We start from the raw sequence: 15,723 nt of genomic DNA on the forward strand, positions 1-15,723 counted from the left end.
GTGTGTGTATGTGTGTGTGTGTGTGTGTGTGTGTGTCTGTGTGTAGACCAATGATTTTCATGGTTTAATTTTGTAAACATTCATTGAGTTCTAACTCTGTGAAAGACAGGACAGAGGAGTGTGCACTAGGAGGACTCAGTATGACGGGAAGGAGTGGAAGGAGTTCACAGACTATGGGAGAAACAAATGTGTCAACTTTTAATTGCAACAAAATGTGACGTAGCAATAAGAGGAAAAATGTACCATGAGAACATCAAGGAGGGAATGATTACTCACTGAGGCTGCAGGCTAGATGATCCCTGTCCAGCGACAGCTTTTTTTAATTGCAGAAATAATAATAATCATCATCATCATCATAGCTACAGTCCATGTGGCACCCACATATAGCAGGTATACTGTACTAGGTGTGCAACCTGTGCAATCTTGTTTAATTATCCCAGCAACTACCTGCATAGAGGGTAGTTATTATCCTGATTTTGTAGATGAAGAAACAGACCCAGAGGGATTCATTAATTTGCTCAAGGCCTCATATCTGGTAAACAATAGATCCAGGATTGAAATTCCCTTGGAATTCACCATGCTGTCTTTATGGGGAAGCCCAGGAACTGGGAGATTCTAGTCCTGGTGGCTACAACAGGTTAAGCCATTGCACTTGATGGTTGGTAGCACAAGAGCCTCACCTTCAACTCCTAGGGGTGGGGGTGGGGTGGAGAGGGATTATAATTAGTCGGGGGTGTTGAACGGTCACCCAGGGAGAGAGGAGATGGTGGGGTGAAGTTGGAAACACAGCTCCAAGAATCCATATCAGTCAGGGTTCTCCAGAGAAACAGAACCAGTAGAAGACATATATAGCCTGGTTTATTTTAAGGAAGTGACTCATGCAGTTGTGGGGGCTGGCAAGTCTGACACCTGTGTGGCAGGCCAGCAGGCTGGAGACTAGCAGGGGCGGATGCTGCAGCCTTGTGGCTGAATATCTTCTTCCTCAGAGAAATCCCAGCGTTTCACTCTTAAGGCGTTTCACCCACCTATGTTATTGAGGATAATCTCTTTTATGGATTATGCACTTTCGTCACACCTACAAGCTACCTTCACAACAACACCTAGATTGGTGTTTGACTGAATGACTAGGTACAGTCGCCTAGCCAAGTTGACACACAAAACTGACCGTCATACCAGGCATGCACAACTGGATCATCTGCCCGGGGTGCCCCTCTAGAGGACTTGGGATCAGAGGGAGGGCCCTGGATGAGAAGGGTTTGATGAGTGTGGGTTTGTATGAGGCTGGCAGTGATAGGAGTTGGGCAACAGGGATGCTGGCCCCAGCAGGGACTAGCAGACTCTCTTGCCACATCAGGGTGGGTGACACTTAAATGCCCCTGACAAAGACTGGATTTGGCGGTGGAGCCAGTTCAGGGCTGAGACTGTCAGGGGACATCTCTGGGGAAGCAGGGATGGGATGGCACCATGGCAGAGCCTGACTGTTCTCCTTAGAAGCCCAGGGCTTGGGCTAATTCTGAGCCCCTTTCTCTCCCACCCCTACCCCAGGAGTTTTGGGTGAGGCTGCTGTGCTACATCATGGAGACAGACTACGTGGAAGCTTTGACTCCTATCTGTATCAGCCTCACAAACCTGGCAGAACACCAGCTCCATGGCCAGGATGTGGATGTCAGCGTGGCTGGCAAGAGCAGGCAAGGTGGGCAAAGTTCCTGTCCAGCTGATTGGATTGGGCAGGTGGGCTGGCTCCTTGTCTGGGAATGCCCACCCCTCTCCACATTCCTCCCACCCTCATTCCCCCTTCTCCTGGAAACATCCAAGTCCAAATTAATACTATTAATGCCTACCTGGATATTAATGCCTACCTGATCATATCTAGGTCATGTTAGAATTGTGTAAACTTCCTTTGGATAGCTCACTCCTCATGTCCTGTCCCCCCAGCCCACAGCCCTGGTCCAGATCCCATCCTTGGGAGCTCCTGGCCCAGCCTTTCCCATGCATGACCTTACTGGGCCTCTGCTCTGCCTGGCTTCTCTGAGCCAGCTAGAGTAACTATAGGCATCCCATCCTCTGTAGACTACCCTCACTGTGGTCCACTCAGAGTGGGCACTGTTAACACCAGGCTCTCAAAACAACTATGCCCACCTACCATGCTTGCTCCTGTCCCCTTCCCTCCAACTCTGGCCCCAAGGGCATCGCTGGTGATGTAGGTGATTGATGGGGTCCTTTAGGATCCAGGGCTAGCAAAGGGCAGAGCCTGCTCTCTGACTTTGATCTAAACAAGCTGGCCAGTCAATCCTCTGAGGTCTTCCTCATGCCCCTCTCACTCTTGACTCTGGTTGAGTCCTCTCCAGGTCCCCTGCACTGGCATCTTCTCAGCAGGCCTGGCCGTGCCCTTGTCCATTTGTTTGTGCGCTGTTGGTTTGCTTTTCCTGGGCTCATTGGCTCCCAAAGCCTGTGGAGAGAGTCAGGAGTGGGTAGAATGGCAGTGTCTAATTACTTTTGGCTCAACAGAGGATGGGGTTCACAGTAGGAGACAAAACACTGTCATGGAAAGTCTTGGTGTCCACTACAAAATGCGCATGGCCTGAAAAGAGCATCTTCTAAACCTCAACCCATTAGCACGATTCTCCCCTCTTCCCAGGATAAGTGAAATGTAATGATGTTCTTAGGAAATTCCCTGTGCCAACCCATTCTCCATTCTGGGGGTTTGGGGAACAAGATCATGTTGGGGAGGAACCTTCTAGGGTAAAGTTCCTAGATGGGGACATAGGAGCATGTCCTGGTACAAGCCAGGAAGGCTCAGCTGGGGTTGCATTTCCTTCAATCAGTGGACCTGCCTGCACCTCAGAAGCTGCTGGCCCGTCTCCTGGTGAGTGGCTGACCTGCACCATGCCCTGGCCTGGCAAGGCCATGCCCTGTGGCACCTCTTCTTTAAACTCCTAATTCCCAGAGCCCCAGGGGTATGAGGAAGCTGAGGTGCAATGAGGGAGTTTGATGCTTGGCAGGACAGATCATTCCATGTCCCTGAAATTCCTCTCGAGTTTGGTAGAAGCAGTGCACTTGTAATAACTGGGGAGCTGACCTGGACCTGCTTTTAGATTCCTCTGCCCAAAGCATCCCCACTACACTGCCAATGCCTGCCTACCCCTGGGGGTTGGCTCAGTCCAGGACCCATGAGTTCTTCTCTTTATGTTAACTGTGGACACTCATCCATGTTGCACTGAAGCCTGGGGTGGGGAGGGAGCCCAGGTCTAGCCCCCATCCCCCATCCTTCCTGTAGTGTCCTCTGCAGGTGCACTCTCTATTTGAAATCCCTATTTGAAAACCACCGATCTTGTCCAGCTCCTCCCTTTAAAAATGAGGACAAAGAGCTCCAAGACAAGGAGCAAGGTGCTCAGGTGCTACTTCACTGGAGCCTTGGTGCCCTCCAGGTGCTGATGTCATCACCTTACAAGGGGGAGGGTCGTGGGATAGCCATGCTCAACCTCTTGAGGACCCTGAGCCAGAGCATCGCACCCTCCATGGCCGACATGTGGGAGCTGGAGATTGCGCTACTGGTCCGGTACCTGGAAGGTGAGGTTCCTGGGGAGCCCATCCCAAGCCAACCCTCCAATCCGTGTATGTGCTGGGGTTCTAATCACATGACTTGAATAACGAGAGCTGAGGCTCACAGTTGACCCACACAGCCAGCCCACTTTTGTCCTGAGAACTGGTTGAGCAGCTTGGGAAGGTGAGGAGTGCAATGCAACGTGTGATGTGTTCATCCATGGAGGGCCTCAAATGCCACGCTAAGGAGGCATAGAGGGCCTTGAATACCAGGCTTAGGGGAGCAGTGGAAGAAAGTGGCATGTGTGACCATACATGTGTTCCTGCAGAACATACTGAGTTCACTTGGGATCAGAAAGCCTGGGAAGACAAGCTGATTCAGGTAAACGGGTAACAAGTTTGCTGAGGCCTGGGAGGAGGAGAAAGATGGGAGCAGATGGAAAGGCATTTGGTGGGCTGGGCACATGAGGAGTTTAGAAGCCCCTAAAGGACATGTTCTCCTTCTGTCAGAGAAGACTTGGGAGTTACAAAGTCTATAGCTGTGTCCATCCCCAGGGGAGAACTGAGAGAACCTTCCATCCCGAGAGCCAGGTGGCCAGGAGGGCAGCAGGGAGTGACACCCCTTCTGCTAGCCGCCAGAGCCACAGCCATTCCTCAGACCCACAGATCATTATTAGCACTGGATCAGGGATCTATGGACTTAGTGATCTGGAGATGTGGGCAAGGGAAGCGAGAGAGGGCAAGTCAGTACTCAAGGTCCCGTAGCATTCCCAGAGCCCAGGCAAGAACAAGGATGAAGGCCTTTGGCCCTTCTCACCAACGTCTTGTGCCTCCCCAGTTTCTGCGAAACTCCCTCAAGAAGACCCGGGGGTCTAGCTGGAGCCTGCGCTTGAGTAAAGAGCTGAACAACCAGATTGCGAGCTTTGACAGCCCCTCTCTGGAGAAGGTTTGTCTTCATAGGGACAGGAGAGTTTGGACAAGGAGTAGACTCCAGGGGTGAGGGAGTGGAGAGGATAACACCGTGTGTGTGAGATCAGCTGGACCTGTGGCTGTTTACAGGGTCCTGGGAGGAGAGGAGCGTGGTCTGGATTGGTGGTTTTAGTTTTGTTTTGGTTTATTTTTTTGCTTTGTTTTGTTGATCCTCCAGATTCTGGCTAGCAATCACATGTGTGTATTTCTTTGTAAACACAAAACTATACCACATTGCTACAAAATTCTAAAACATTTTTGAAAGAAATCAGTGAGGGTCTCAATAAATAGAAAGCACCCCATGTTCATGGATTGAAAGATGCTATAGTTCAAATGGTGATACTCTCCAAATTTATCTTCAGTTTTAGCATGACACCTATCACAATCCAAGCTAGTTCTTTTTTTTGATCCTAAAATTGATCCTAAAATTTATATGGAAATACCAGAGGCTCTGAATAGCCAACAAAATTATGAGAAGAAGAATAAAGTTGGAGGACTCAAACTTCTCAATTTCAACTTCTTACACAACTGCAGTAAAACTCCTTACACAATTGCAGTAAACAAGACAGTGAGATACTGGCATAAGGATAGATTGATAAAATAGAAGTGAGAGTCCAGAAATAAACTCTCACATTTATGGGTAATTTATTTTCAAGAAGGGTGCCAAGACAATTCAGTGGGGAAAGAATAGTTTTTTTCAACAAATGGGGCTAGGGTAACTAGAAATCCACATGCAAAAGAATGAAATTGGATATCTTCCTCACACCACACATAAAGCTGAATCAAAACGAATCACAGACCTAAATAAAAGAACTAAAATTATAAAATTCTAGAAAAACACAGGATAAATCTTGTGACCTTGGGTTAGGCAAAGCCTTCTTAGAGATGACACCAAAAAGCACAAGTGACAAAAAGAAATAAATTGGACATCATGAAAATTAAAACCTCTTGTGCTAAAAATAATACAATAGAGAAAGTGAAAAAGAAGCACATTAAGGAAGAACATGTTCTTCCATAACAGATCAAAGACTTAAGTGTACAAAATAAAATAGAACCATGGAACAACTAGAAGAATATATTGATGAATATTTTTATAATGTTAACATGGAATAGCCTTTATATGCTTGCAAAGAAACCAAGAAAGACGAGGGAAAAGAGGTAAATTTTATAGATATTAACATTTTTTGTGTGCTTCTACTACTTCCTGTTTGTTTTCTCATCTCCAAAAACAATAATATTTACCTTATGGAGTCGTGGTGAGGATTTAATGAAATATGGATGGTTGCTCTTATTATGTCTCCAAATATAAAACAAAATTCTTACAAATAACAAAGAAAAAGCCCACCAAAAAATGGGAAAAAGAATATAGCCAGAAATTCAAAGAATTAAAACGGATCATGAGAATATGAAAAGATGATCAGCACAACTAAAAATCAAAGAAACACATCACAGTGAGAATGTTCCACTTCTCACTGATCATGACGTATGTTGGGGAGTAGGTGGAGAAATTGGTGCGCTTAGGTTTGTTGGAGGGAGTGTAAATTGGTTCAACTTACACAGAAGTTGAACAAACTTACCCCTCCCCCTTTAACACGTATAACATGCCTGCCCTTATGTAGTCTGACCTCCCAGAATAACCTGAACACTTATTTTATTTATTTTTTTGAAATTTTTTATTTCCATAGGTTTTTGGGGAACTGGTGGTCTTCGGTTACATGAATAAATGGGAATTTGCAAGATTTTGGTGCACCCATCGCCCAAGCAGTATACGCTGCACCCAATTTGTAGTCTTTTATCCCCCACCCCTTTCCTACCCTTTCCCCCTGAGTCCGCAAAGTCCATTGTATCATTCTTATGCCTTAGCATCCTCATAGCTTAGCTCCCACTTATGAGTGAGAACATACGACGTTTGGTTTTCCATTCCTAAGTTACTTAGAATAATAGTCTCCAATCTCATCCAGGTTACTGCAAATGCCAGTAATTCATTCTTTTTTGTGGCTGAGTAGTATTCCATTATATATATATATAATATGAACTGATATATGTATATATAAACTGATATATGTATGTATGTATATATCAGTTTCTTTATCCACTCATTGATTGATGGGCATTTGGGCTGCTTCCACATTTTTGCACTTGTGAATTGTGCTGCTGTAAACGTGTGTGCAAGTATCTTCTGCACATTAAAATAAATTGAAAAATACGTAGAAAACTCTCTACAACAGCACCCCCTGAAGGCTGGCTGTAGGGAGGCCTGAGCTCCTTCCTCCCTTCTGCCTCTCCAGGGCTTTCTGTACCGGGCCTTGGGCTTCACCTTGGCCACAGGCCTGGAGGCCAGCAAGGTGGAGGTCCTGCTGTTGGAGCTGCTGTACAAGACGGACTACAGCAATGACTTTGACAGCGAGGTGAGGGTGCCTGCAGCCTCCTCCTGTCCACCAGATGCCTCTGGACCCTCGGGGACATGTGTGTTCATGTGGCTGCATGCGTTTTGTGTGTGTGTGTGTACATGTGTGTGTGCCTTGCACGTGTGTGTGTGGGATCCTCCTCTGCCCACTGGCCCCTGCCCTCACCCTGGCTGGCTGGGTCTCCCTGCAGGGTGTGATTATGTGCTTTGGCCTGTGTGCCCGGGGCCAGGTAAAAACGGTGCTGAATGTGCTTCATGACTTCGAGGAGAGGATCCAGGAGTCAGAGCAGTCCTGGCAGATCAGTGCTTGGCGGGTAAGCCACCTTCCCTCCACAACTGGGTCTTGGGATCTCTTAGCACAGTGCTCTGGGCACTGACACAAAGTCCTTTCTAGATCTCAGTAGGAAACTTGCCTCACACGGAGTCTCCTGTCATCAAAATGGCTGAGACATTGTCTTACTCTGAGACCTCCTGGACAGAGCTTTTGCTATTGGATCATCTTAAAAATGCAGGGTGGGCCTTTCCAGGACCCAGATACTGTCACGGAGTCCCAGCCCCTTGCTACTCATGGTGGGGTTCTCAGACTGGCAGTGGGGGCTCCCTGGGTGCTGATTGGAAATGTAGAGTCCCAGGCCCCACACAGACCCACAGGATTTGAAGAAGCTGTTCAGGTAGTGCTCAGTGGGTGCTTGACACTAGGAGCTCTGCCTCAGTGGATGGACGGTGCTGGGATTGAGGGGCTCTAGCCACTGTTGCAGGGTGAGAACACTGAAGCTTGTCCATTGGCGTGCGGCTGGTTCCCTGGTGAAGCCAGTATTTGGACCCAGACAGCCCATGGCCCTATCCTCTGGAGGCTGCCCCTCCCTGCCACAGGAGATGGTCCCACCAGCTGGCTGAGCTCCTAGTGGGAAACCATCTGAAACCATCACCCATGCCTCAGGCTTTGCCCTTGACCTGGAACACTTGCCCTGGGGTCTGGTTGTTTGGATGAAGAAAATCGAGAGAGTCCCAGGCTTTCTTCCAGCTTTTCTGCAAAGAGGACCCGACACCTAGATTTCTACTCAGTCTGGCAGGGCACTGGGGCCCCTGCTCCCCATCCACAGTGGGTTTGGTGGCCTCCAACATCTCCTCCCACTCAGAGATTGTTCTGAGGGTGTGAGCACCGTGAGGGCAAAGTGGAGGCTGTCGGTTCCTGCTGGCTCTCCAGCCTCATGTGTGCCTGACCCATAGCCGGTGCCTGGTAGGTGAAGGTATGAGGTGTGCAAGCAGCCTCTGTTTAGGGGTGTTCACTTGAGCACCTCCCCCCACAGGTGATGGGTGGTCTGGGCGTCTATAGCCCTAGTCTGTCTTGCTCATTACTGCATGCCCAGTGCCTGGTGTCTAGTAGATGCTCAGTAAAGATGCACTGAGTGAATGAATGCATGCATGAAAATACGATGAACATTTCAGGCACCCAGAAAACAGTCAGGTGAAGCACCGCCAGCTGACTCAATGGATCCTTTGGTTGTGTGGCCAGAGACCATCACCTGCATCTGGAGCAGCCCCTGCTGCCCCCAGTGGTTCTTTTTCTCTTTGGCCTCGTAGAAGGACCATCCCTGGAGGCGGGAGACAGTGAAAAGTGCCCTCATGGTGATGTATAGCTGCGTGGCCTCCTACTGCCACCCCCAGTTGCTCCTCAACCTCGTGGACAGCCCCATCACCGCTAAGATCATTCACCATTATGTCAGCAGCTGCCAGGTAGCCCCATCTGCTGCCTGGGGGGATGTCTTCTGGACCAGGCTGGTGGGTAGTAGCCTTCTGGCACTCTCTGGGCTCCTGCATCCCTACCCAGGGGACATCCAGGCATCTTACCTGATGCCCAGCACGTGGGAAGCCCATTGCCCAAATGTGCTGTTCTCTGTGCTTTGGTGTCATGCAGAGGGGCTGGGGGGCGGGTTGAGGATAGCCCCTCTTCCAGAGTGCTGGGTGGGGTCTCCAGAAGCCACAAGATGAGCCCCACCTCTTCCCAGCCTTACCCACTCCCTCTGCCCTTGCCTCTGGCCCTCTCTGACACTGACCCAGACCCTTTCATAAGGAACAAGAGGTGGGGTTGTCTTCATAGACATGCAAAGGAACTGGCTATTTTCTTGGAATGGCAAGGAGGGGAAAACACAGAGAATAAAGCAAAAACTGTTTTTATTTTTTAAAACTATGGCAAAATACACCTAACATAAAGTTTATCATCATAACCATTTTTAAGTATATATATATAGTTCAGTGGCATGAGGTACATTCACGTTATTGTGCAACTGTCACTGCCATCTGTCTCCAGAATTCTTCATTTTACAAAACCAAAATCCTATATCCATTCAACACCAACTCTCCATTCCCTTCTCCTCCCAGCCCTGGCAACCACCTTTACTCTTCCTGTCTGTGTGGCTTTGACTAGTCCAGGTACCTCATCTAAGTGCAATCATATGATAGTTGTCCTTGTGTGTCTGGCTTATTTCATTTATCATAATGTTCTCAAGGTTCATCCATGTAAAAGCAATCATTTTCTCAATAACCTCTCCTGCCTCTATGGTAACACATAGGGCTCGGGGCCCCTGGTCACTGAAGGCGGCCCCTGAGCTGCTTTGCTGCCCTCAGGAGGCTTGGGAAGGTGGCATCTTCCGTGGTGTATTAGTTCGTGTTAACGCTGCTGCTAAAGGCATACCTGAAACTGGGAACAAAAAGAGGTTTACTTGGACTTAGAGTTCCACATGACTAGGGTGGCCTCAGAATCATGGCGGGAGACAAAAGGCACTTCTTACATGGTGGCAGCAAGAGAAAAATGAGGAAGAAGCAAAAGTGGAAACCCCTGATAAACCCATCAGATCTTGTGAGACTTATTCACTGTCATGAGAATAGCATGGGAGAGACTGGCCCCCATGATTCAATTACCACCCGCTGGGTCCCTCCCACAACACATGGGAATTCTGAGAGTTACAATTCAAGTTGAGATTTGAATGGGGACACAGCCAAACTATATCACGTGTGGACCCAGGTGCTGCACCTCACCTCGTATCCCCGCCATGTGCCTGTGGCCCTGCCATGTGGCAGGTGCTCCATTCATGTGGTCGAAGGACAGAGTGAGGCTGGCCATCTCTCAGAGCATTCAACATTAAACGCTTTCTTCAGAGCAGAGGGAGTCCAGGAGCAGAAGCTGCAGCTTGGATTCTTCTGGGGCTGCTCACAAACATTCTCTCCCTCCTTTTCCCCTTCTGGGCTCAGGACATCTGTCTCAAAATGGCCTTCATGAAGAGTGTTGTGCAGGTTACCAAGGCCATCAACAACATCAAGGACCTGGAGGACTTTCACTTTGCCCAGAAGACGACTCTTACCAGCATTATAGTGGTAAGCTGGGTGGGGCACCTCCTTGGTCCTGTTCCTGGTTTTGGGGTCTAACTCCCTGCGGTGAGAGGTTTTCAAAGTTCCTGAGGGCATCTGCAGAGCTCTCTGAAGTCCTTCCCTGTCTTGGCTCTGCTTTGTCCTAACTGTAGGAGTTCTGAGAATGATTTTTGTATCTGATAAAGAGTTTCACAGCCAGTCAACTGTTTGGAAACCAGGGTGGGAGATTCTGGCTGTCCTGGGTCCTGCAGTGCCCAGGGCAGCTGGTTAAGGCCTGATAGACAGAGATTCCCTGGGCCGGCTTGGCTGTAGCTTCCCTGTCTCTCCGTGGGAGGGCCTTAGGGGCAGGGATCTGCTGGAAGCAGGACTTAGAGTGAAGCCCTGAAGGATGCACAGAAGGATGTAAGACAAAGAAAACGTCCACTGTCCAAAGGCTGATGGAACCTGTGGGGCCGCCAATGTCCTTAATCCCCAGGCCTCCCCACTCATGTCATTGCCAGTGCCTTGGCCTCTCAAAGCTGCTTGGGTTGTGCTGGAAGTGGCCCTTAAGGGACATGAGATTGGGTGGAACAGAAGGCAATGAGGAGGAAATGGGATTTATTTGGCTCTCACTGGCCAGGAGCTTTGAACCTGTACTTTCACGCTAGCCTGGAGCAGCCCTGTAAAATGGGTCTCCAGGTCTTGTTTTACAGAGAAGGGGACTTGGGCTCAGGCAGAGGAAGTGCTGGCCCAGGGGCACACAGCAAGTAGATGAGCAGCGCGAGCTGGGAGCCCAGGCCCACTTTGGGCCCTGCTCCCACTCTGCTGCCTCCCCTAAGATGCCAAAAGCCAAATGGCCCTAAAAAGAATGAAAGAGATGTGGGGTGTTAGACACTTTGGGAAGTGCCAGGTCTTCCTCATGCTAACACTGGGGAGTGCTGCCGCCATCATGGTCACCAAAAGCCACCACCCCCTGCTTGTGTTGGACAGGCGGTCATCAAGGCAGAACCGACTGACAACCTGGTTTCTCCAGTGCGAGCCTTGGCGATGGAGGCCCTCTCGCACCTGAGGTGAGCTGGGTTCCCACCCTCACCCCATCCCAAGGGGTAGGGAAAAGTTCAAGACCATTCCTCGGTGCTCCTTCAGGGGTTGTGCCTCCTTTTTCCTCTCCTCCCTCTGTAGCAGGGGTCTCACTTGGAGGCTCCCCAGGGCAATGGGCCAGCCTAGATGATGGGGGTCGGCCTCAGCCACTCTTTTCTATAATTCTCAGCCAGATTTCAAGTTGGGTGCTTCTCCTTGGATTTATGGCACATGGGTGGGCTGCTCTTCCATTGATTGGGGATATTTTGAGCAAAATAACAGTGATAACACTGAAGAGCATTGCAAGCATCCTTCAAGATGAGTCAGGCTCAGTGAGTGAGTTGAAGGGCTTAGTCAACTATTTGTTGATACCACTGGTACAAAATGATCTAAAGCCCAAGACTTACCTTCCTGGAGATGCCAATCCATTGGTGGGGAGGGGGAAAGGGGAAGAAGTTATGGATTTATAAAATTAGTATTTAAAGAGTTTGGGTCATCTCTAAGAATACCTCCCCTATAGGGGAAGATTCATTACTTAGGCGCATAGCAGAACTATCTGTTACTTTAAGCTGCATCAAACAGGCAGATTTTAAAATAAATGTCATGAACATCAACTAAGCACAATGATATGCTGAGTACTGAAGGGACACAGAGATACATAAGACCTAGTCCCAGCCTTTTAAGGACTTAGAGATAAGACAGACACATACAAACAGGATTATAGGTCAAAGCTGACTAACAGGACTGTGTTTACAGGTAAACCCACACACACATCAGCAAAAAAATATCTGAGAACAAAAAAAAAGGGGCTACTAACAAAAGCAACTCGGTTTATACAAAAGGAGCTATCAAGAGGCTTGGTGCAAAGTTGGCATTTGGCTTTTGACCTGGGCTTAGGCAGAACGACTGGACTTGGCGCTTCCTAGGAGAGTGTAATACAAGACACTTTGGGGGAGCAGGAGTTTAAAGCAGGATGGTGGCTCTCAACTCTAGGGGCACAATAGAACTCATGGGGAACTTTTAACAGTATGGATATCCAGGTCCCACCCCAGATCCTGGGGCTTGGACGTGGTCCCTGGGGGTCCTTAAAAAATCCTCGAGGTATCTTTAATATGCATCAAGCTTGAGAATTGTTGATGAAGGAGCTAGAAGAAGAATGAGCTAGCATGCACCAATCACTAGCAACTTCCTCTGGAGGGCTTATCAAAACACAGATGGCTGCAGTCCACCCCCAGAATTTTTGATTCAGCAGGTCTTGGCTGGGGCCATAGAATTTGTGTTTCTCATAAATTCCAAGGTGAAGCTGCTGCTGCTGCTGCTGCTGGTGATGGTGGTCCAAGCATTACCCTTGAAAGCCCCTGGACTAGCACCAGCCAGGGAGGGCAGATTCCATAGTTGCAGTCGGCAAGGAGCAATGGAATGTTTCTGAGCAGATTAACAGGTTCAGAGTAGACAACAGCAGATAGGAGAGATGGCCTTGGACCCCTGCATCTCCCCTTCAATCACAAGCAAGAGTCACTGGACACTGGTTACTGGTCAGAGCCAGGGCCCCTGGGGAGGGATGCTTGCCAGAGCCTCCAACTGGAGAAGTAGGCCTCTTCCTCTTCTAGGATGTGTTTCCGTGCCCAGATTGGGCAGTGGGGCAGCAGAAGCTCAACTCCCCAATGACTGTTCCTCTCTTGTCACTGCTTCTTCTCCAGCAAGCTGAAGCCTTTCTACTCCACAGAGGAAAACAGTGAGCTGATGGATATCAGCATACATTCTGTAATTTCTCTCCAACTCCCAGGAGAGGACAATGAGTCCATTAAGGTAGGTCCCTCTGGGATGCCTCATTTGCTGGGTCAGGACCTGGGAGTTAACATTAACATGGGCCATGCTGAGAGTCCACCTTCCTGAACCACCTTTGAGTGTTTAGAGGCAGCGGAGTGTAGCAAGCTCTATCAGTAAATGTAAGGTAATGCTAGCTGTTGAAACATAAACCCTGAAATCTCAGTGGATTAACAACATAAAAGTTTATTTATCACCCAAGTCAAGTCAAGCCCAGCTGTCAATGGGAGTGGAAATGGAGCTGCTTTGTGCAATTATTCAGGAACCCAGGCTGGTGGAGTCCTCCTGCCCATCCTCAGTGCATGAATCCCAAGATCCCAATCAATGGGTATTGATACCCAGCATAGATAGAAGAAAGAGAAAGTCTAGGGAAGACTTGAGAGTCATTTTGCCCTCCTTCTATTGGCTGAAACACAGTCACATGGCTCCACCCATGCAAGGAGTCCTGGGAAATGTAGTCCCTGATGAGATGGCTGTTTCCCTGACAACACTGTGGAAGAGGAGAAGGAATCTTTTGTGGACAGGTAGCCATCCCTGCCTCCAGGGCTTGGCCCTGGATGAAGAATCAGAACTGGGCTCCAGGAGTTCAGTATCCTGCTTTGTAAAGTGAATCCCTCTTAAATGGTTGTCTTGTACTTCACTTGAGAAAATAAGTGTCAAGAGCTCAGACTGAACAGAAGTTAGTGGATGACTGCCAGACCCCTCCCTGGCATGAACTCCCTGCAGGGAGGGGGGTTGTGGGTGCCCCTCATTGCCGCCTATCTCTCTCTCCCTCTTGGCTGTAGACCCTGTATGCAAATGCCCTGAGCTCCCTGGAGCAGCTGATGGAGAGCCTCCTGCAGAGGCAGCTGGACCCCAAGGGGCTGCAGGAGATGGTGCAGGTGAGTTGCCTGGTGGCGGGCCAGAGCCAGGGATGGCCACTCCTCCCCAGAAGCTGGACTGAGGGCCAGACTCTGGGGAACAGGGGAGTGCATGCAACATTGTTTTAGTGATTTCATTGTTATAAAATTCCAGATCTGCTAAAAATTTGCAAGGATAGTGCAAAGATACTCTTCATGCAGATTCACAGTTCTTAATACTTTGTCACATTTTCTTTCTCGGTTTTCTTCTGCCTCTGTCCTTCCACACACACACATCTTTTGAACCACGGATAGCTGCAGACATCCAGAGTAACAGTACTCTCTTATATAACAACAGTACCATGATCAAATTCAGGACATTTAATGTTGACACGATGCATGTATTAAAACTGATGGCCCATATTCAAATTTCATGAATTGCCCCAGTAATGTCCTTTAGAGCTGTTTTCTCCTCGATCCAGGATATAATCCAGATTAGGCAGTGCATCTACCTGTCAGGTCTCTTTGTTCTCCTTTCATCTGGAACAGCTTCACAGTCCTTCTTTGTCTTTCATAACCTTGGCACTTTTGAAGGGTGCTGGTTAGGTTTTTAAAAATTGGGTTGTTTGCTTTCTTTTTATAGAACCTTTTACAGGTTTTACATATTCTGGATACAACCCATCAGATATGTGATTTGCAAATATTTTCTTCTAGTCTGTGGCCTTTTTATTGATTTCCCAATATCTTTTAATGAGCAGAAGTTTTTGGTTTTGACGAAGTCGAATTTATCTTTTTTTCTTTTATGGATCATGCTTTTGGTGTCAAATCTAAGAAACCGTCCAAAGATTTTCTCCTATGTTTTCTTCCAGAAGTTTTGTATTTTCAGATTTTATGATTAGGTCTATGATATATTTTGAGTTAATTTTTGTATGGTCTGAGGTACGGGTCAAAGTTTATTTTAATTTTTTGCACATGGATAGCCAATTGTTTCAGCACCCTTTGTTGAAAAGACTGCCCTTTTTCTGTTCAATTATCTTTGCACCTTTGTTGAAAATCAAAGGCTATGTACGTGTGGGTGTATTTCTGGACACTTATTTGGCTCTGTTGATGTGTTTGCCTATGGTACACCAATACTGCACTGTCTCGATTACTGTTATATTATAATAAGCCTTGAAATCAGGATCAGATAATGTAAGTCCTTAGATTTTGCTTTTTTTTTTTTTTTTTTTGCTGCATCTCACAGATCCTGATACGTTGCGTTTTAATTTTATTTCGGTTCGAAACATTTTAAATTTCCCTTATGATTTCTTCTTTGACCTGAAAGTTATTTAGAGATTTTCAAATATTTGGGAGTTTCCGAGAATCTTTCTGGTTTGGATTCCTAATTTAACTGCATTGTTCTCTGATGACATACTTAAATTCCGTATTTTAAATCCTTTTAAATTGACTGAGATTTATTTTGTTGCCCAGATACCATCTATCTTGGTAAATATTTCATGTGTATTTGAAAAATATTCTGCTGTTGTTAAGTGTAGTGTTTCAAAATGTCTATTAGGCCAAGTTGGTTAATAGTATTTTTCAGGTTTTCTGTCTCCTTTTTGATGTTCTGTCTTTTTGTTCTATCAATTATTGAGAAAAAGGCACTGAAATCTCTGACTAATAGTGTGAACTTGTTTATTTCTCCTTTTGGCTCTTTCATTTTTTGCTTCA

General features: G+C 47.5%; 1 protein-coding gene across 15 annotated transcripts in view; it reads left to right on the plus strand.

The window, feature by feature from the left end:
- Window positions 1-15,723, plus strand: part of MROH2A (maestro heat like repeat family member 2A) — a 57,695-nt gene that overhangs the window by 24,899 nt on the left and 17,073 nt on the right. For 10 of the 15 annotated variants that reach the window (XM_024452842.2, XM_011511076.3, XM_024452844.2 and 7 more), the window contains 12 exons: window positions 1,546-1,693; window positions 2,826-2,866; window positions 3,429-3,570; window positions 3,873-3,925; window positions 4,382-4,489; window positions 6,801-6,920; window positions 7,111-7,233; window positions 8,504-8,701; window positions 10,172-10,294; window positions 11,258-11,337; window positions 13,048-13,156; window positions 13,960-14,055. In XM_024452842.2, coding sequence (XP_024308610.1) covers window positions 1,546-1,693; window positions 2,826-2,866; window positions 3,429-3,570; window positions 3,873-3,925; window positions 4,382-4,489; window positions 6,801-6,920; window positions 7,111-7,233; window positions 8,504-8,701; window positions 10,172-10,294; window positions 11,258-11,337; window positions 13,048-13,156; window positions 13,960-14,055 — 1,341 coding nt within the window. The remainder of the gene's footprint in view (window positions 1-1,545; window positions 1,694-2,825; window positions 2,867-3,428; window positions 3,571-3,872; window positions 3,926-4,381; window positions 4,490-6,800; window positions 6,921-7,110; window positions 7,234-8,503; window positions 8,702-10,171; window positions 10,295-11,257; window positions 11,338-13,047; window positions 13,157-13,959; window positions 14,056-15,723) is intronic. The other 5 variants (NM_001367507.1, XM_024452841.2, NM_001394639.1 and 2 more) reach the window with 3 other exon arrangements.

This window comes from Homo sapiens, chromosome 2 (assembly GCF_000001405.40).
Source record: "Homo sapiens chromosome 2, GRCh38.p14 Primary Assembly".
In the NCBI taxonomy this organism is placed as follows: domain Eukaryota; kingdom Metazoa; phylum Chordata; class Mammalia; order Primates; family Hominidae; genus Homo; species Homo sapiens.